Source organism: Homo sapiens, chromosome 2 (genome assembly GCF_000001405.40).
Source record: "Homo sapiens chromosome 2, GRCh38.p14 Primary Assembly".
NCBI classification, from domain to species: Eukaryota; Metazoa; Chordata; class Mammalia; order Primates; family Hominidae; genus Homo; species Homo sapiens.
The window spans coordinates 121324042-121345429 of NC_000002.12; the positions used below are offsets into that span (position 1 = coordinate 121324042).

Below are 21388 nucleotides of genomic sequence, written 5' to 3' on the forward strand. Positions count from 1 at the left end.
AGCCTGCAAGAGGACCCTAAGCTCCAGAAAGGAACTCAGCTCAGCCAACTTACCTTCTTTCTTTCTTTCTTTCTTTCCTTCTTTCTTTTTTTTTTTTGACAGAGTTTCACTCTTTCACCCAGGCTGGAGTGCAGTGGCGCAATCTCGGCTCACTGCAACCCCTGTCCCTTGGGTTCAAGCGATTCTCCTGCCTCAGCCTCCCAAGTACCTGGGATTATAGGCACCCACCACCATGCCCAGCTAATTTTTGTATTTTTAGTAGAGACAGTGTTTCACCATGTTGGCCAGGCTGGTCTCGAACTCCTGACCTCAGGTGATCCTCATGCCTTGGCCTCCCAAAGTGCTAGGATTACAGGTGTGAGCCACCACGCCCAGCCTCAGTAAACATCTTGATTTCAGTCTTAGAAGACTTTGAGCAGAGGAGTCAGTCAGAGAACCCAAGATTGGACTCCTGACTATGGAAACTATGAAATCATACATTTGTGTTTTTTGAGCTGCTAATTTTATGGTAAATTTTTATGCAGCAATAGAAATGATTACAGAATGCACAGAAACATGTTTATATATTTTCTTTCATATATGCACATATATAAAATAAAATTGGGGGAGCTGGGTGCAGTGGCTCACACCTGTAATCCCAGGATTTTGCGAGGTTGAGGTGGGCAGATTGCTTGAGCCCAGGAGTTCAAGACCAGCCTGGGCAACGTAGTGAAACCCCGTCTCCACTAAAAATACAAAGATTAGTCGGTTATGGTGACACCTGCCTGTAGTCCTAGTTATTCCGGAGGCTGAAGTGGGAGGATTACTTGAGTCTGGGAGGCGGAGGCTGCAGTGAGTCAAGGTTGCACCACTGCACTCCAGCCTGGGCAACAGAGCAAGACCCTGTGTCAAAAAAATAAAATTGGGTTTATATTATATATATACTTTTGCAAATGGCTTTTGTCTCTTAATACGTCATAAGCATTGATTACCATTTCGATAGTTTAGTTTTAAAAAATGAAACTTTTGTGTGTTTGTGCGTGCAATGGGGCATACTTGGGCTCTACAGTGAGGTCAGACCCTTCAAAACAGGAGAGTTCTCCTTTAGGAACTGGACTTTCATTTCCTTTTGGTGGGAACACAGCAACTATTTCAGTAAATGCCATCTCTTTCCTCAATAACACTGTAAACTCTTTGAGAGCAAGATTTATGCCTCCTATTCCTTTTTATTCTTCTTGGGAATTAATTCAGTGCTGAGCTCCCTTGATAAAGCTGTGGTATGTTGGTGGTGAGAAAAATGTCCTGTGGCCACTCCAGGTGCTAATCCTCTCGTTTCTGGCCCAGAATGGCCTGACCTTAAGAACCCTGTTGTATTAGTCTGTTCTCAAACTGCTATAAAGACGCTACCTAAGGCTGGGTAATTTATAAAGGAAAGAGCTTTGATCAACTCACAGTTCCATATGGCTGGGAAGGCCTCAGGAAACTTACAATCATGGCGGAAGGTGAAGGGGGAGCAAGGACCTTCTTCATGTGGTGGCAGGAGAGGAAAGTGTAAGCAGGGGAAATGGCAGATGCTTATAAAACCATCAGATCTTGGGTGGGCATGGCGGCTCATGCCTGTAATCCCAGCACTTTGGGAGCCCGAGGCGCGCGGATCACCTGAGGTTGGGAGTTTGAGACCTGAGGTCGGGACTCCATGACCAACATGGTGAAACCCCGTCTTTACTAAAAATACAAAATTAGCCTGGTGTGGTGGCACATGCCTGTAATCCCAGCTACTCGGGAGGCTGAGGCAGGAGAATCGCTTGAACCCAGGAGGCGGAGGTTGCAATGAGCCGAGATCACACCTCTGCACTCCAGCCTGGGCAACAAGAGTGAAACTCCGTCTCAAAAAAAACAAAAACAAAAACAGAAAACCATCAGATCTCGTGAAATTCACTCACTATTACGAGGACAGCATGGGGGAAACTGCCCCCATGATTCAAACACCTCCCTCCCTCGACACGTGGGGATTACAATTCAAAATGAAATTTGGGTGGGGACACAGAGCCAAACCATATCATCTGTTGGGGTTGTGTTAGTTTACTAGGGTTGCCATATCAAATGCCACAGACTGAGTGACTTAAAAAACGGAAATTTATTTTCTCAGAGTTCTAGAAGCTAGAGGTTTAAGATCAAGGTGTCAGCAAGGTTGGTTTCCTCTGAGGCCTCTCTCCTAGCCTTGTGGATGATTCTCTTCTTCTGTGTCCTCACATAACCTTTCCTTAATGCATGTGTGTCTTCGTCCATTTTATGTTTCTATAACAAAATAGCACAGACTGGGCAATTTACAATAAACAGAAATGTATTTGGCAAACAGTTCCGGAGCCTGGGCAGTTCAAGAGCATGGTGTCAGCATCTTGTGAGGGCTTTCATGCTGCATCATCCCACGGTCCAAGCCAGAAGGGCAAGAGCAAAAATCCACTCCTGGAGGCCTTTTCTTTTTTTTTTTTTTTCCCCAGACAGGGTCTCACTTTGTCACCCAAGCTGGAGTGCAGTGGCACAATCATGGGTCACTGCAGTCTCAACCTCCTGGACTCAAGCAGTCCCCTCACCTCAGCCTCCCAAGAGTAGCTGGGACTACAGGCACACGCTAACTAAGCCCGGCTTTTATTTTTTGTAGAGATGAGGTCTCCCTATGTTGCCCAGGCTGGTCTTGAACTCCTGGACTCAAGTGATCCACCTGCCTCCACCTTCCAAAGTGCTAGAGTTATAGGCGTGAACCACCATGCTCAACCTTGGAAGCCATTTTTTAATGACATTAAGCCCATCCATGAGAGTGGAGCCTAATCGCCTCTTAAAGGCCCCACCTGGCCAGGTACAGTGGGTCGTGCCTGTAACTCCAACACTTCGGGAGGCTGAGGTGGGCGGATTGCTTGAAGTCAGGAGTTCAATACTGGCCTAACCAACATGGCGAAACCTCATCTCTACTAAAAATAGAAAAAATTAGCCAGGCATGGTGGCACACGCCTATAGTCCCAGCTACTTGGGAGGCTGAGGTGGGAGAATCACCCGAGCCCAGGAGGTCAAGGCTGCAGTTAGCCAAGATCGTGCCACTGTGCTCCAGCCTGGGTGACAGAGTGAGACTCCATCTCCAAAAACAAACAAACAAAAAATGCCAGGCATGGTGGCTCATGCCCGTAATCCCAGCACTTTGGGAGGCCTAGGTGGGTGGATCATGAGGTCAGGAGATAGAGACCATCCTGGCCAACATGGTGAAACCCCGTCTCTACTAAAATACAAAAAATTAGCTGGGTGTGGTGGCACACATCTGTAGTCCCAGCTACTCAGGAGGCTGAGGCAGGGGAATTGCTTGAACCTGTGAGGTGGAGGTTGCAGTGAGCCAAGATCGCGCCAGTGCACTCCAGCCTGGGCAACAGAGCAAGACTCCGTCTCAAAAATAAATAAATAAATAATAAATAAAAAACAAAAAAATACAAATACAAAAGAAAAACCCAGCAGCCATGCAGCTTTGGGGAAGAGGATAGAAGGGGTGGAGTATGCAGGGAGTTGGGAGCGCACCATTATCAGAAGAGGAAATCCTCCCTACCTTTCTACTTTCCACTTAATATTAACTGTCAGTAATCCCCATGTCTTGAAGAATTTTTTGGACATACACTTTTTTTCTTCAAATTTTATTTTAAGTTCAGGGGTACGTGTGCAGGATGTGCAGGTTTGTTGCGTAGGTAAACATGTGCCATGGTGTTTGCTGCACAGATCATCCCATCACCTAGGTATTAAGCCCCTCATGCATTAGCTATTCTTCCTGATGTTCTCCCTCCCTCATCCCCTCTGGCAGGCCCCAGTGTGTGTTGTTCTCCCCCATGTGTCCATGTGTTCTCATATTTGAGCTCCCACTTATAAGTGAGAATATGCAGTGTTTGGTTTTCTGTTCCTGTGTTAGACTGCTGGGGATAATGGCTTCCAGCTCCATCCATGTGCCTGAAAAGGACATGATCTTGTTCCTTTTTATGTCTCCTTAGTATTTCATGGTGTATATGTACCACATTTTATTTATTCAGTCTACCATTGATGGGCATTTAGGTTGATTCCATGTCTTTGCTATGGTGAAGAGTGCTGCAATGAACATATGTGTGTATGTATCTTTATAATAGAATAATCTATATTCCTTTGGGTATATACCCAGCAATGGGATTTCTGGGTCAAATGGTATTTCTGCCTCTAGATCTTTGAGGAATTGCCACACTGTCTTTCATAATGGTTGAGCTAATTTACACTCCCACCAACAGTGTAAAAGCATTCCTTTTTCTCTACAACCTCGCCAGCATCTGTTGTTTTTTGACTTTTTATTAATAATATTCACCATTCTGGCTGGTGTGAGATGGTATCTCATTGTGGTTTTGATTTGTATTTCTCTAATGATGAGTGATGTTGAGCTTTTTTTCATGTTTGTTGTCTGCATGAATGTCTTCTTTTGAGAAGCATCTGTTTATGTCCTTTGCCCACTTTTTAATGGGGTCCTTTGTTTTTTTTTTTCTTGTAAATTTGTTAAAGCTCCTTGTAGACTCTGGATATTAGGCCTTTATCAGATGGATAAATTGCAAAACTTTTCCCTAATTCTGGTAGGTTGTTTGTTCATTCTGATGATAGTTTCTTAAGCTGTGCAGAAGCTCCTTAGTTTAATTAGATCCCATTTTTCAATGTTTGCTTTTGCTGCAATTGCTTTTGGTGTTTTCTTCGTGAAATCTTTGCCTGTGCCTAGGACATACACTTTTAACTGGCTGGATGGTCTTCCACCAAAAGGCTAAGCCATCATTTGTTGAGATGTTTTCTCTTCAGTTGGATGCTTTAGTGGTCTTGTCTCTCCGTGGCTCAGAGTTCCCTATTACAGATGATGGTATCCCCTCCAGCTAGTTTACATATGTATTTAGAGACAGGGTCTCGTCCTATTGCCCAGGCTGGAGTGCGATGGTGTAATCTCAGTTCATTTTAACTTCCGCCTCGTGGGCTCAGGTGATCCTTACACCTCAGCTTCCCGGAGTATCTAGGACTATAGGCATACAGGCATGTGCCACCATGCCTGGTTAATTTTTTATTTTATTTTATTTTTTGGTAGAGATGAGGTTTTGTCATGTTTCCCAGGCTGGTCTCACACCCCTGAGTTCAAGTGATCTGCCAGCCTCCACCTCCCAAAGTGCTGGGATTACAGGTGTGAGCCACCGTGCCCAGCCCCCCTCCAGCTAGTTTAAGCAGAATGGGACTTCTTAAGACATTTAGGTAGTGGACATCATCATTGGGAGGGCCAGGGTGCCAGGGGTGGGTGCCACCCAACCAGGAACAACAAGAGACAGGGAAAATTCCTTTCCAAATCTTGGCGGCTGCCACTTGCAGCTTGGTAGCTTTGAGACTGAGGACAAGCTAGAACCTGCAACTGAGATGCCCCACAAGAACCAAATGTCACCACCACTGTGTCCATCCTTAACAAAAGCTGCTTCTCATCTTGTGAGGTGCATCTATCTCCCTGGCAGAACCTAGCCATACACGAAGCCCTAGCATTGAGGGAGAGGGAGCTGGGTCCCACCATAGAGGCAGGCATGATGGGGGGATGGCCCTCAGACTCAACCTCTCCCCACTGCAACCTGACATTTCGAGAGTAGCCACCACCCCATGTGCACCTGCCTCTCTGAGTGTGTCTCTCTTGCGTCCTCTTTCCTATACTTTTGGAAAACGTCTCACAGAGAATATGGGACCTCAGACTTGGCTGGAAAAGCAGGACCCTGTGTGATTAGTGCTAATTTGGATAGCATCAAGACCATTTCAAATCCCTTTGGCTTTTGTTAGGAGGCAAAACCAGGCAGAGAGGAGCCAAGGAGGAGCAGGTGGCGAAGGAGACAGAGCCCGTTAATGCTCGGGCCAGAGGGGCAATGCCCAGCCCTTCCCCACCGCCATGTGCAGAAAGTGTCCCACAAAAGCTGACAGTATCCTGTATGTGGAGTCGTCCCCTCAGACACAGGCCTGTTAGGACACTGGGCAGTCTCACGCAGGGTGGCTTTCCTTGGATGGGAGTCCACAGAGGTACTCTCAAGGCTCTGTAAATTCTCTGCAGGAATTTTACATTTGGGGGTTTTCATGTCTGTGATTGTCTAAAGAATCAATAGGAGACTCACCTAAATTATGGAGACTCACCTAAATAACCACCTTATAACTTGGGATTCTCACACAATTTTAGTCTTTAAATTATGAAACATTTGATAATGCAAAAGAAAACATAGAACATAAATGATAGTTATGGGCTGTAACAATAAAACACACACCTGTGAACCCACCCCCAAATTACAAAGCAGAACATCATCTGGTCATTGAAACTGAGGACATGCTCCCCCGGTCTCAGTCCCGTCTCTCCCGAACAGGCAGTTACTCTCCCGAATTTGTTTCCTAACCACTCATTTTGTAGAGTTTTACCACACATGTGTGTCTCTAAGAAAATACATGGTTTTGTTTTGGTTATTTTGATCTTAAAAAAAGGCAAGATGCGGCTGGGCCCGGTGGCTCACGCTTGTAATCCCAGCACTCTGGGAGGCTGAGGTGGGCGGATCACCTGAGCTCAGGAGTTCAAGACCAGCCTGACCAACATGGTGAAACCCCATCTCTACTAAATACAAAAAATTAGCCGTGCGTGGTGGTGGGCGCCTGTAATCCTAGCTACTTCGGAGGCTGAGGCAGGAGAATAGCTTGAACCCGGGAGTCGGAGGTTGCGGTGAGCCGAGATCGCGCCATTGCACTCCAGCCTGGGCAACAAGAGCGAAACTCCATCTCAAAAAAGGAAAAAAAAAAAAAAAAAGGCAAGATGCTCTGTGCTTTCTTCTGTGACTTTCTCTTTCCCCCCAAAACGGCATTCCCGATTCCCCATGTGATAAATGCAGCTGCAGGTCCTTCCTCTTCCCTTCATGGTATCGCTCACGTGGGGAGTCCAGTTTCTCGACCCCTTCTCCTCCCCGGGCGCCTTTGTGCTGTGTCTCGTTCTGCACACCTTTGCTCCAGGGTGTGCCCCAGAAGCAGAACTGCGGGTTGTAAGGTACGCACATCTTCTCCTTTACAGACTGTTTTCCACATTGGTCACGCTGCTTGTAACTTTAGGGCTAAGAGAAGCCAAAAGACTCTCTGAGTTTGCAGATAAAAATGGGGAAGCCAGGTTAGACCCCAGGCCGGCTCCACGGCCAAGCACGCTCCCCCACTGAACCGGCTCAACTGCCCACCCGACAAAGTACAATGGCTGCCAGGATGTGCAGGTCGTGGCCACGTGCTCTTATATTTCATTTATTTTTATTTTTATTTTGTATTTTTTGAGATGGGGGTCCTGCTATGTTGCCCAGGTTGGTCTCAAACTCCTGGGATCAAGTGATCCTCCCACCTCAGCCTCCCAAAGTGCTAGCATTACAGGCATGAGCCACGGTGCCTAGCCATATTTGCTCTTTTTTTTTTTTTTTGAGATGGAATCTTGCTCTGTCACCCAGGCTGGAATGCAATGGTGCAATCTCGGCTCACAGCAATCTCCACCCCTCGGGTTACAGCGATTCTTGTGCCTCAGCCTCCTGAGTAGCTGGGATTACAGGCGTGTGCCACCACGCCCGGCTAATCTTTTTTATTTTTAGTAGAGATGGGGTTTCACCATGTTGGCCAGGCTGTTCTCGAACTCCTGGCCTCAAATGATCTGCCCACCTCGGCCTCCAGAAGTGCTGGGATTACAAGTGTCAGCCACCATGCCTGGCCGTGTGCTCTTTTATTTCAGTGATTTACAAATATCCCATGAGGTAGATACTGCTGCCATTGGCACTTTTTCCATGCAGAAGAAGAAACTGAGGCACGAAGAGTGAAGTAACTTGCCATGGCCACACAAGAGTTAGGATTTGAACCCAGGCAGTTCAGTAGCAGCCACTGTGTTCTCAGGTACCATGGCAGGGCTCCCAGCTAAGTAGAAAACACTGTAAGCCTCAAGTCATGCCCTTGAGACCACATCCTAGTTGGGGAACCACAAACTAGTCATTCATTCATTCATCCATCCATCCATCCATCTGTCCATCCATCCATCCCGCACCAACCATGGGCCAGGCTAAGTGTTAGGAATACAGAGGTAAAGGACACAGGCCCAGTTCTTAGCCACAGAGATGACTAAGATGACAAATAATTGCACAAATAGATACAAAATGCGTAACAAGTTTAGGGAGGAAAAACAAAAGGTCTAATTTAGAATATTCTCCAAAAAAGGAAGGGGGCCTGGCACTTAAGCTGGGACCTGAAGGATCTGTGAAGTTAGCCAGAGGAGTGCTTGAGCAGGTGAGTGCATGCGTGCATGTGTGCAGGTGTGTGTGTAGACAGGGGGCCAGGCACAGCCAACAGCAATGCAAAGGCCCCGAGGCCAGGAGGCAGTGCCTGGGGCACAGCGGCACAAGATGGGGTGGTGGAGAAGGCAGGGGCCAGGTGGCGAGCCCTGTAGGCCATGTTCGAGATTTTGGAATTTTATCCCAGAGAGTGTGTATGGCAGTGACGGGTAGGAGGTAGGCATTGCAAGGTTTGACATGAAATAATGATACATCAGAGGAACATTTTTTTTTTAACAGCATGGGCCTGTAATCCCAGCACTCTGGGAGGCAGAGGCAGGAGCATCGCTTGAGGCCAGGAGTTCAAGAGACTGAGGCAGGAGGAATGCTCGAATCCAGGAGGCTGAGGTTTCAGTGAGCCGCGATGGCGCCACTGCACTCCAGCCTGGACAACAGAGTGAGACCCTGTCTCTAAAAAATAAAAAAACGGAGGCTGGGCGCGGTGGCTCACGCCTGTGATCCCAGCACCTTGGGAGGCTGGGGCAGGCAGATCACGAGGTCAGGAGATTGAGACCATCCTGGCTAATACGGTGAAACCCCACCTCTACTAAAAACACAAAAAATTAGCCGGGCATGGTGGCAGGTGCCTGTACTCCCAGCTACTTGGGAGGCTGAGGCAGGAAAATGGCTTGAACCTGGGAGGAGGAGGTTGCAGTGAGCCAAGATCGCGCCACTGCACTCCAGCCTGGGCGACAGAGCAAGACTCCGTCTCAAAAATAAATAAATAAATAATAAATAAAAAACAAAAAATACAAATACAAAAGAAAAACCCAGCAGCCATGCAGCTTTGGGGAAGAGGATAGAAGGGGTGGAGTATGCAGGGAGTTGGGAGCGAAGGGCTGGGTAGGAGAGGGTCCCAGCGGCATCTTCTCCATGGGATGCTGTTTGCAGGGGGCTGCGGGGGGCTGCTGGTTGCGGGTGGGCTGAAGGGGGAGTGGAGGGTGGGGAGAGCCTGGCATCAGTGTCCACAGACTAGAGAGCAGCGAGCAGTGGGAGACGGGCAGGGAAGCCAGGCCTGGCAGCACTAGGTTTGAGGAGCCCAGGGACAGCGTGGAGGAGGCTCCTGGCAGACGTTGGGGGTGAGGGGTGAACGGGAGGGGATGCTGGCCCCGTCCTGTCCCCAGCCCCATCATCCTCCCAGGTGGGAAAGCCGCCTGGAAGCCCACGGTTGTCGTGTGAATCTTTCGCGTGGACTGGGGGGTGATAGGGCAGAGACTTTACATCGGTCGTTCATTTGTCCAGAACTTTGTTGAGCGTCATGTGTCAGAAACGGGGGCGGGGACCTCCATGATAGTAATAATACAGGAATTATGATGGCTGACATTTGCTGAGGCTTCCGGAAGGGTGTCAGAGACTTTAACAGTGTGCTAATCCTCACACCCTCACACACACACCCCAGCCCTGCCTCCCCAATTCCCATCTCCTAGGATTTTACAGAGGAAGAAACTGAGGTCTTCGTAAGCTGGAGTCATCTGGCTATTAAGTCACAGGCTTCAAAACACTCAGGATTGGATTCAAGCCCCAGATTCCAGCACCCAGGCGGGCCTTTCCCCAACCAGGCCCACTGAGCAGTTGCCCGGGAGTACTGCGGAAATGTTTACCACGAGCTTGGTGTCAAACAGCTGGGCGGGCCTGCCTGTGACCACGGCCCACCTGAACTTGCTAACAAGAGTCAGGCGGATGGAAAATGGAACAGAGGCTCAGGGAAGGGACAGAGTTACAAAGCAAAAGACTCCGGTTCAGTCCAGAGCTAGACTTCCTGGGTTTGAATCCCGGTTCTCTTACGAGAGAGACCTGTGACCCCAAGTGAGTTACTCAGAGTCTCTGTGCCACTGTTTCCCATGTGCAAAACGGGAATTATCAAAGGAACTGCCTCATGGGGCTGTTGTGAGGATTAAATCAGAAAGCTCAGCAAAGCATCAGAACAGAGTTTGGCAGGTGGTTTCTGTTTTGTCATTTTGAAACAGGGTCTCTGGCTGTCACTCAGGCTGGAGAGCAGTGGTGCAATCAAGGTTCACTGCAGCCTCCACCTCCTGAGTAGCTGGGACTTCAGGTATTTGCCACTACACCCAGCTAATTTTTAAAACTTTTTGTAGAGAAGGGGGTCTCCCTCTGTTACCCACACTGGTCTTGAATTCCTAGGTTCAATAGATCTTCCTGCCTCAGCCTCCCATAGTGCTAGGATTACAGGCATGAGCCACGGCACCCGGCCAGCTTGGCAGTAGTAAGCACTCATAGGTCCCAGTTCTTGTTCCCACTGAAGAATGAGCAGGTGTCCAGGGGAAATGGCAGGACAGCAGACAGGAAAGCAGGAGACCAGAGGAGAGGCATGGCCGGAGTGCTGGCCCTGGACATACCTCCAGAGCCTTCCAAGTCCTCACGGTGGGGGAGCAGAGACCACGGTGGTGCAGAGCCTGAACCACCGCTGTAGGAGGCCATACTGCCCACCCCACCCAGACTGTTCCCAGGCACTTGGCAGGGCACAGGGGGAGGCAGGGCATCCCGGAACTGCCGGGAAGTGACCCAGGAACACTGTGTCTCCAGGAGCTCCAGGGCCCGGCAAGTCCACCTGGAGGCCAGGCACCTGCAGCTGAGGAGGGCATGGCACGAAGTATTTTAATGTCTTTTAAATACATAGCTGGGATGAGATACCCATTCACATGACCTTTGTCCGTTCCTGCCTGGAGCCACTGAAGTGAGTTAATAAATACTGGAGGAGGTGGGCTGAGCCTGCGGGGGAAGAGCTGTCCCCTGAGGAGGGAGCTCTGGCCCAGGCGGCTTAGGCCATCATGGTCTTCTCTGCTAACAGCATCCCATTTCACTTTCAAAAGTTCTCGTCCTCCCATGCTGAGTTAGGTGGTCACCATAGTTACCTGTAATGACAGGGATGGCCTGACATTCCTGAGGCCATACCTTGTTTTCAGCCACAGCCTGCAGGATTGTCCCCAGCCTTGGGGTCAAACCACCTGTCACATTTTAAGCAAAATGCTCTACAATCCCAAGTGGGGTCCCCAGCCCTGTAGCGGCGGCGCTGCCCGGGTACTCTGCAGAGACGCAGGTTTTCAGGCTGCCCCAGCCCTACTGGTCAGCAACGCAGGCAGGCAGTGATCTGCTTCACAAGCCCCGAGGGGTTCTGATGTGCACTCTGAGTCCTCGTAACTCCAGGGGGAGATGGAAGGGTGCAAGGCCTGATGAGGGGAGGGGAGCACTGCTGGACCAAATGCATAGCGGGGCCTGGCACAACTCCATCAGTCACTATGTAGCCGTGGCTCCTCCTGTGCCTGTTTCCTCATTTGGAAACCGAACACAACAGTGCGTCCGTCGATAGTATTTCAGGACATGTCCTACAGCAAGATGCTACAGACCAGAATCTTGCAAAGTGTGAAGTTCATCAGCCAAGAATGCTAACAGCCTCAGTACCCCACCCTTCACTGGTGGCCTGTGACCCTCTGAAAAATGGCAAGGACTTCCTGGCAGCCCTTGGTAAGGTAGGGCAATGGCACCAGAGTTGGAGAACCACATATAGAAAGCTGAACAGGGCTGCTGTGTCTGAACCTGGTCCCACCGCCCAGGGTTTTTCTTTTGCTAATAAATAATGGTCTCTGACTGCACATGCAGGTGTGCCTGTCGGGGGGGGGGGGAAGGCGGGTGACATCACCCTCTTGTGCATTTCCGGGTCCACAGTAGGAGGCAGGGCAGGCGACCATCGGGAGCATTTATTTCGGGCCAGCTGCTTCACTTACATCATCTCCATGAACTCTCATGGCACCTCTGCTAGGCAGTTATTTTTTTCATTTTTCTCTATAGTTTTGAACACAGCCAGGCAGTTCTTAACCCAATTCATAAATGAAAAGACTGAGGCAGGAAGTGATCTGCCCACGGGGGGCAGGGGTGGAGCTGGGATTCTAATCCAAGTATCTGTGATCCAGAGCATCCTGAGGCGTCTCAGGCGGGGTACAAGGTGGTGGGCCACAGGAGAAAGGGGCACAGTGTCACTGGATAGTGGCACTCGGGACGAATCATGGAACATGATGGAAAACAACTTTTTAGTAAAAAGTAAAGCTTCAAAATGTGGTCTATCCATACAACAGAATATTATTCAGCCTTAGGAAGGAAATTAAAAATGTGAAAAAATGCAGGTGAACATGTGTTTATAAATTTAAAAAAGAAATTCTGATACATACATGGATGAACCTTGACGTATTAAGCAAAATAAGCCAGTCACAGAAAGGCAAATACTGTATGATCCACTTATGCGAGATGCCCGGAATAGTCAAATTCAGAGAGAGGGAAAGTAGAATGCTGGTTGCCAGGGGCCTTGCGGGAGGCAGGAATGGGGAAGTTATGCTTAATGGGGACAGGGTTTGTTTTACTAGTTGAGAGCCCTAGAGAGGGATTCCAGAACACCATGATGGTGATGGTTACCCAATGACCTGAATATATTTACCACCACTGAACAGCACACTTACAAATGGTTAAGATGGTAAATCTCGTGTTACGTGTATTTTGCCACAATTTTAAGACTTGAAGGGAAAAAGGGCTTCAAAGCAGCGGCTGTGGAGCCTGTGATGTTGTGCATTTGCTCCCAGAGGCTCTGCTCTTGCCCTGCCTAGCCTGCTCCAGTCCCCAGTGACCAGCAGAGAAGAACCGCAGGCATGCAGGGGAGCCCGGCTGCTCTCAGCGGCTCTCCAGCTCATCTCGGGATTCGAGGCTGAGGCTTTCTCCTGCTTCTACCTTTCCGGGGAGCCACTGTTCTCACTGATCAGTTGAGGAAATGGAGCCGATGAGGGAGGCCCCTGCTCACATGGCCTCCAGGAGCGTGGGTGGGATTCTAGCCCATGCGTCTCACCTCCCACCTTGTCACCGCACACACGGCACAGCAACCAGCTCCCAGGCGACTCCATCAGATGTGATATTTCCCCAGATTGACCTTTTTAAAAAAATGTATATTAATATATATATTTTTCAGATGGAGTATCACTCTGTCACCCAGGCTGGAGTGCAGTGGCATGATCTCGGCTCATTGCAGCCTCTGCCTCCTGGGCTCAAGCGATTCTCCCACCTCAGCTTCCTGGGTAGCTGGAATTACAGACACACCACCACACCCAGCTAATTTTTGTATTTTTAGTGGAGACGGGGTTTTGCCACGTCGCCCAGGCTGGTCTTAAACTCCTGAGCTCAAGTAATCCGCCCGCCTTGGCCTCCCAGAATGCTAGGATTACATGGGTTGACCTCTTGATGTCACGAGGGGAAAGAGCTCTTCTGATGTATGATTCCTCCTGAATCCTTTATCGAAATGGCTGTGTTCTGATCGCAGGGGGAGGGGATCAGCTGTCTGCAGGGCATGGTGGTGGTAAAGACATCATCAAGCAGAACATTGAATTAAGTCTCATTTATTCTAGGGCAAACTCAAAAGGGTTTTTTTTTTTTCTTTTTTAGCAAATCCTAGCACATTATTAACAAAAAAATCTGTACATTTGCCATGATACACTTGAAAGTGAAACAAATAAGATATAAATACAGATATGGATGTAACATGAAAAAGCCCCCCCCCCCAAAAAAACCCAAAAAACAAAAAAACCCACCCAACCTGGGGGTGTGGGGACCATGCGTGTGAACACAGTGCCAACATAACTATTTTGGTGGCTGATATTTTTTCAGAGCACTTCTTTATTTCCAAACATTATTGTTAGCAAAGTCCTGGTGGGATTCTACAAAGTTCTTATTTGCTGTCCTTTAAAGTGTAACATTACGCTTGATAAATAAAGGGTGGCAGGGAAAGAAAAAGACTGATGAGACAAAGTCAGTTGCATTACCTGCACAGGGTGGTAAGCTAGTGAGGCGCATAGAAAAGGCAGGCCCGTGGCATCGCCGCAGGTCCGGGAAGCACACACAGTGTACTTGAAGGAAGCTGCGTGCCCCGAGGACCGGCTGCACCCTGCCCAGACCCTGGCTGCAGGGGAGGCAGCAGCTTGGAGGAAGCAGGGAGTCAGCCCGCCCAGCCCCGCAGTGGAGCAGCGGGGGTCTTGGGCCCTGGCCAGTCCGGTAGACAGGGAGGCAGAGACAGGCTTAGGTGCTCTGCTCTTTTGTGTTCTGTTTTTCATTGGAACAGGGGCCCTGCAGGGAGGCGGCGGCAAGGCAAGGCAGCTGCAGCTGTCAGGGTCTAGGGGGCGACGGTGGGCTCGGCGCCCTCCCAGTGAGGTGGTGGCGGCATGCGAGTCTCCTCGGCGCGGCGGCAGCAGTTTTCAGATTGAGGCCAAGAGACCTGTGACGTGATTGTATCTCTAAGTCAGGAGACTGAAGACTGGGCGAGTGACATTCAAGGCTAGCCCTTTGTGAGTACTATGAGGACGTCCAGCAATGTTCGAGATCCTTTCTAAGTACACTGGGGACTGGGGTACCTTCTGGGAGTCAAAGAGCTCAAGGAGAAAGGTCTTTCTAACTGCATTAGGAATAAAGAAACTCATGGATAACCTAGCCCGACGCACATTCCTGCAACAAAGGGGTCAACAAGAGACTCCCTAATTCACTTGTAGAGTGTAAAAAAGAAATACCATTAATGACATATTAATAAACAAACAGTACTTATCAACAAAAGACCTGGTCCTGCTATATTTTGAGCCAAAGCTCGTCAGTAATACCCAACCCCTTGAAACGCGTCCCTCAAGTTCCCTAAACAGCAGCAGTGAGGTACCACACATGTGTAGGGTGCACGCACAAACACACACAACACCACACACACACACACACACACACACACACACACACACACGTCAGCACCCTGGCTTTACTGTTCCTATGCACTATGGGGCCTTCATTTTCAGCCCATGTTTCCAAATCAACATCAGTCTTTCCCAGCTTCCTGCATCCAATGCAGAGGGTCAGGGCAGAGGGGTCTGTGGAAATGATGTTAAGAATCACGTGCTCTGGCACCCAGCCTCTGCTTTCAGTCCTAGCAGTTGCAGTGGGCTCTGCACTGCAATAGCAAATACGTTATTAGAATTAATCTCAAAAGAAGCATTTTCCTTATGGAAAAATCAGTTCAATTTATAGGATCTAATACAACAGTAAGAGACAATAGAAGTCCTCATGATTGCATTAAGAATTTCCATTTGGCTTAAGAATTTTACTCAGAATTTATTTAACCAGACTCCAAACCTCTAGTTACTTTTATTGGAGTAATTAGGCTCTAAAGGTGTTTTTAAAAAGGGGGCCTAGTGGTTCGCTGAGGAGGAAGAGAGACTCTAAATGTGTGTTCTTTTTAAGTGTGTTTCTAATCCTGTTTTTCTGCAATCTGCTACACCTCATAATTACTTTTTTCCTTAAACAGTGACTATTTCATCAACAGACATTCAAGGAACTACTTCAGTTTATAAAATTAAAAAAAATTGTGATATCCAGTCTCTCTAGGCTTTTCTTGGCTCTTAATCCCACATTAAACTGAGAAGTCAGAACTAAGATGGTAAAGATGCCATTTACCAGATTAACTGAGACCATGTTAGAACTGAACGGCTTAGGCAGAACTTTGAGGGGAGGAAACAAGTTGGTGCTCAATCTGAATCACCGTGTAGCCCAGAGATGAGGGTCTTGGCAGAGCCCCCATGACAACAGTGTTCCCAAGGATCTCAGCAGTAAAGATGAAAGACTTCTTCTTTATCTTCTGTGCTTCATGAACTGCCATCTCAGGCATCCCTAAATGATGCCATACATTTATCTTATTTTTGTGTCCAGATTTAAACTTGAAGAATTCCTTTGCATGGAAGCTCTGGGGTAGGGACCTTGTCGGTGGAGTCGATTAGGGAGAGCTGGAAGGAGACTGTCAGGGTGCACTCCCAATTCTACGCTGAAAGCCAGGGCAGTCGGCCTCCAGTCTGGATATGACAAGCAAAATTCCCAGCGTTTGTTAAAAGGCCATCTTCAGACTGTTCTTGCCAAGACTTGATTCCCATTTTTAGTAGGTCTCAGAACACAACTTAAAGATATATCACCTTTCGTGGTGTCAGCTGTGAAAGGGGCCCCACACAGACCATACGCACAAGAAAATAGGCTAAGGAGGAAGAACACAAAGTAACACCCCACCCCACCCCCAAATATGTTATTAACTGAAAAAAAAAATGCTACTTTCTACCAAGTAGTGGCTAGAGCGCTCTGATTTTTAAAAACTGCACCCCACACACAGGGTTTCGCCATCTCAGCAGGCTGTACAAGACATGTTTCAGTATGGCTCTTTTCTGTTCTTATTCCTTTTGTTTTGTATGAAGACTGCAATACAGGCCTTGCTTCCTTTACATTCAATACCAGTAAGATTCTACAGAAAAGCTGGAAGGGACCAAAATACTGATTGTAATAAATATTTGTGGGCCTCCTTGTACTGACTGGGCAGCCGATGAAGGGGGTGGGGAAAGGTCTCTGAGAGGCACCACCGATTGCTTCTAGGTCTACACAAGAGACAGGTACTGCCATTAGCTGTGCGTGGAGACATCGGAGGAGGAGCTGCTGTTGCTGTTGGTGGTCTGGGCCCTCTTTATGTATAAGTTTAGTAGCTTCATCTGAAAAGAGAAGATGAAACTGAATTAGCAGGAAGAAAAGCAATCAGAAAGTAGAAAACAGCAAAAAGAATCCCAGGTGACAGTAAGGAAACAGCAAGTCCCTTAGTTCCCTTGGTTGAGGAATTCATTATAAAAACATGTTCTGAGTGCCTGCTGCCCATCCAATGCATCTGCCAGGTGCTAGGGCCACAGAGGGAGGGAGGAGGCCAGAGTCCAGAGGAGAGGGAAAAGCCGTGGGCAATTACAAGACCACCACCAGGTGTCACAACTAGGTGGGCCGCAGCAGCTCATGGAGGAAGGGATACGGGGGCAGGGCCATTCATCTCAAGCACGACTGCAGCCCAAAGGCTCCATCAGAGCCAGGGAAAAAGCAGGGTGAGAACCCCGCTCCACAGGGGGGAAGTGGCTGGGCCAAGGTCAGAGGGCAAATCCTCTAACCTTCACACCTTTAGCCTCTTGAGTAGCTGGGACTACAGGCATGTGACACCACGCCTGACAGTACTTTAAATGTAAATGGATTAAACTCTTCAATCAAAAGACAGAAATGGGCAGAATGGATAAACATGTGATCCAATTATATGCTGTCTATAAGAAATTCACTTTAGATCCAAAGACATAAATGGATTGAAAATGAAAGGATATAAAAAGATATTCCATGAAACAGTAATCAAAGGGAGCAAGGCTGGCTATACTAATATCAGACAAAACAGAGTTGACATCAAAAAAGCTTCTGGAGATAAGACTTCGATACTCCACCCTCAATAATGGATAAAAGAACCAGACAGATGATAAGCAAGCAAATAGAGGACTTAACCTGATAAACCAACTTGATCTAACAGATGTATATGAAACTCAACAACAGAACACACATTCTTCTCAAGGGACACATTAAGTTTCAAATCTATTGAAATTTAATTTGTGATTTAACATATGGTTTATCATAGGATTTAACATATGATTGAACATAGACCATATGTTCAATCACAAATTAAGTTTAAATAGATTTAAAAAGATACCAAAGCATCTTCTCCAACCATAATGGGATGAAATAAATCAATAATAGAAGGAAAACGAAAAAAAATCATAAATTTATAAAAATTGAGTTAACATATTCTTAAACAACCAATGAGTAAAGAAGAGATCATAAGGTAAACTAGAAGACATATTTAAAAAAAGAATTTTTTTTTTTTTTGAGACAGGGTCTCACTCGGAGGCCCAGGCTGGAGTGCAGTGGCACAACCTCAGCTCACTGCAGCCTTGACCTTCCAGGATCAGGTGATCCTCCCACCTTAGCTTCCTGACTAGCTGGGACCAGAGGTGCACACCACCATGCCCAGCTAATTTTGTATTTTGTATGATGGGGCTTTGCCATGTTGACCAGGCTAGTCTTGAACTCGTGGGCTCAAGCAATCCTCCTGCCTCGGCCTCCCAAAGTGCTGGGATTACTAGCGTGAGCCACCGCACCTAGCCTTAGAAAACATCTTGAGACAAATGAAAATGATAAGACAATTTTTGGGGATGCAGCAAAAACAGTGCTGAAGAGGGAAATTTAGAGTTATAAATGCTTACATTAAAAAAGAAAGCTCTCTAATCAACAACCTAAACTTTTATCTTAAGGAACTAGAAAAAAGAACTACATCTAAAGCTAGCAGGAGAAAACAATAAAGATTAGAGCAGAGATAAACAAAATAGAGAACAGAAAAATAGAGAAAATTGGCTGGGCATGGTCACGCCTATAATCTCAGCAATGTAGGAGGCTGAGGTGGGAGAATCGTTTGAAACCAGTTCAAGACCAGACTGGCAACATAGCGAGACCCTATCTCTACAAAAAATTTAAAAATTAGCTGGGATTATGTGTGCCTGTAATCCCAGCTACTTGGGGAGGGGCTGAGATGGGAGGATGGCTTGAGTCCAGGAGGTCAAGGGTGCCAGTGAGTCATGATTGTGCCACCGCACTCCAGCCTGAGTGACCAAAAATTAATTAATTAATTTATGCATGCACAGACATGGTCTTGCTGTTGCCCAGGCTGGTTTGGAGCTTCTGGCCTCAAGTGACCCTGCCAAAGTGCTAGAATTACAGGCGTGAGCCACCCACTCCTGGACCAGTCAAATAATTTTCAACAAGCATGCCAAGACCGTTTAATAGGGAAAGGATCATCTTTTTAACAGATAAGAAATCGCCATCAGGTTATTTATTTTCAACAAATGAGATACCCATCCTCATCTCATAGAGGACGGCTATTAGAAATAATGAGAAATAAATTAGAAAAGTGAAAAATAAAAACAGAAAATAACAAGTGTTGGTGAGGATGTGGGGAAATTAGAACCCTTGTGCACTGTTGGTCAGAACGTAAAATGGTGCAATCTCTGTGGAAAACAGCAGGGAGGTTCCCTGAAACATTAAGGACTTGAACAGGTGCACCAGTGTTCATAGCAGCATTATTCACAAGAGCCAGAAGGTGGAAGCAACCCAGGGTCTATCAACAGATGAGCAGATAAACAAACCATGCAATCTACACACAATGGACATTCAGTCTTGAAAAGGAAGGAAATTCTGACAAATGCTGCAACATGGATAAGCCCTGAGGACATTATGCTAAGTGAAATAAGCCAGCCACAAAGGACACATACGATGTAATTCCACTTATATGAGACACCTGGGGTAGTCAAATTCATGGAGACAGAAAGTAGAAAGGTGGATGCCAGGGGTTGGGAAAGAAGGAAATAGGAAATTATTGTTTAATGGGTGCAAAGGTTCAGTTTTGCAAAATGAAAAAAGTTTCGAAGATGGATGGTAGTGATGGTTATACAACAATATGAACCACACACTTAAAAATAGTTACAATGGGTCGGATGAGGTGGCTCACACCTGTAATCCCAGCATTTTGGGAGGTGGGTGGATCACTTGAGGTCGAGAGTTCGAGACCAGCCTGACCAACATGGTGAAACCCCATCTCAACTAAAAATACAAAAACTAGCTGGGCGTGGTGGCAGGCGCCTATAATCCCAGCTACTCAGGAGGCTGAAGCAGGACAATCGTTTGAACCTGGTAGGCGGAGGTTGCAGTGAGCCAAGATCACGTCACCGCACTTCAGCCTGGGTGACAGAGTGAGACTCTATCTCAAAAAAAAACAGTTACAATGGTAAATTTTATTATACCACAATAAAAAGACTGGAGGGGGGGAAAAAGAAAAGAATGCTTGTTCAAGGTCATAAAACTCGTAAGTGGGGAACAGAGACCAGAAGGCAAGCTGACCCCAAAGCTAGTGTTGCTGCCCTAGCAACATGGCATCTCTCCAAATGTACTACAGAGGTTCCTTCCCTTCATCAGACCTCTTCGTACAGAAGATATCTCTTCCTGGTATCACTTATTTTTTTTCTTAAAAAAAAACCTTTTTTTTTGAGACAGAGTTTCGCTCTGTCACCCAGGCTGGAGTGCAGTGGTGCGTTCTTGGCTCACTGCAACCTCCACCTCCCAGGTTCAAGCGATTCTCCTGCCTCGGCCTCCTGAGTAGCTGGGATTACAGACATGTGCCACCACACCCACTTAATTTTGTATTTGTAGTAGAGATGGGGTTTCACCATGTTGGTGAGGCTGGTCTTGAACTCCTGACCTCAGATGATCCGCCCGCCTCGGCCTCCCAAAGTGCTGGGATTACAGGTATGAGCCGTGCCCAGCCTTCATTTATTAACTTCATTTAAGCAAAAGGAGAGCGTGTTCCCATAGGCCTGTAACACTGGAACACAGGGAGCCATGACTTGATTCTCTTTGTTTCTAGTCAAGGAAATTGAGACAGACTTAGCACCAGGTTCTGCCTGCCAGCTACCATCTGGTTGAGGAAGGGAGGGAGTTTGTATTAGGAGATGTGTACCTGAGTCTACAAAGTTCATATGAACATACCAGAGCTATTACATGAAAAAAAATTTAGGCCAGACACGGTGGCTCACACCTGCAATCCCAGCACTTTGGGAAGCCAAGGCAGGAGGATCACCTGAGGTCAGGAGTTCGAGACCAGCCTGGCCAACCAGGCAAAACCCCGTGTTGACTAAAAATACAAAAACTTAACCAGGCGTGGTGGCGCACGCCTGTAATCCCAGCTACTCGGGAGGCTGAGGCAGGAGAATAGCTTGAACCTGGGAGACAGAGGTTGTCTGTGCCACTGCACTCCAGCCTGGGTGACAGAGCGAGGCTCCATATAAAAATAATAACAATAAAAAACTTAACGGCTGGATGAACTGGGCTACGAAAGCAGAAAGATGTGAAGGCCAGTCTCTCCAAACCCCTGAGGAACTAAGGTTGTAACTGGGGGAGGGAAGGCGCTGGCTCCCGGTCAGGAATGTGGGTTCTGGACCCAAAGCTTCACCAAGAGTGGCAGCAGCGGGTCAATTGCCAAATGGGGAGGAGAAAACACCTGGATTTTCTGTCCCTTATCCAAAGGTTCAAATGAGTTGATGGGACAACTCTCTTACTCAAGAAAAGTA

The 21388-nt window shown here is 47.5% G+C and overlaps 1 protein-coding gene across 35 annotated transcripts in view, besides 4 other annotated features; it reads right to left on the reverse strand.

Annotated features, from left to right (window-relative positions):
- Positions 10247 to 10436: a silencer, noted in NCBI's record as "silent region_11921". NCBI's record gives its function as "represses an Ori minimal core promoter by ATAC-STARR-seq in GM12878 lymphoblastoid cells {active_cell/tissue: GM12878}" and the evidence as "EXISTENCE:reporter gene assay evidence [ECO:0000049][PMID:35858748]".
- Positions 10247 to 11231: a biological region, named in NCBI's record as "H3K27ac-H3K4me1 hESC enhancer GRCh37_chr2:122091915-122092848".
- Positions 10298 to 11231: an enhancer, noted in NCBI's record as "H3K27ac-H3K4me1 hESC enhancer chr2:122091915-122092848 (GRCh37/hg19 assembly coordinates)". NCBI's record gives its function as "activates a minimal SCP1, AML or CMV promoter by ChIP-STARR-seq in naive H9 embryonic stem cells {active_cell/tissue: H9 hESC(naive)}" and the evidence as "EXISTENCE:reporter gene assay evidence [ECO:0000049][PMID:30033119]".
- Positions 12560 to 13145: an enhancer, noted in NCBI's record as "H3K27ac-H3K4me1 hESC enhancer chr2:122094177-122094762 (GRCh37/hg19 assembly coordinates)". NCBI's record gives its function as "activates a minimal SCP1, AML or CMV promoter by ChIP-STARR-seq in primed H9 embryonic stem cells {active_cell/tissue: H9 hESC(primed)}" and the evidence as "EXISTENCE:reporter gene assay evidence [ECO:0000049][PMID:30033119]".
- The window catches only part of CLASP1 (cytoplasmic linker associated protein 1), a 311687-nt gene continuing 304033 nt past the window's right edge, over positions 13735 to 21388 (reverse strand). For all 35 annotated transcript variants that reach the window (XM_047443792.1, XM_047443782.1, XM_006712383.2 and 32 more), the window contains one exon: positions 13735 to 16906. In XM_047443792.1, the coding sequence (XP_047299748.1) occupies positions 16820 to 16906 (87 nt within the window). In that variant the 3' untranslated portion in view covers positions 13735 to 16819. The remainder of the gene's footprint in view (positions 16907 to 21388) is intronic.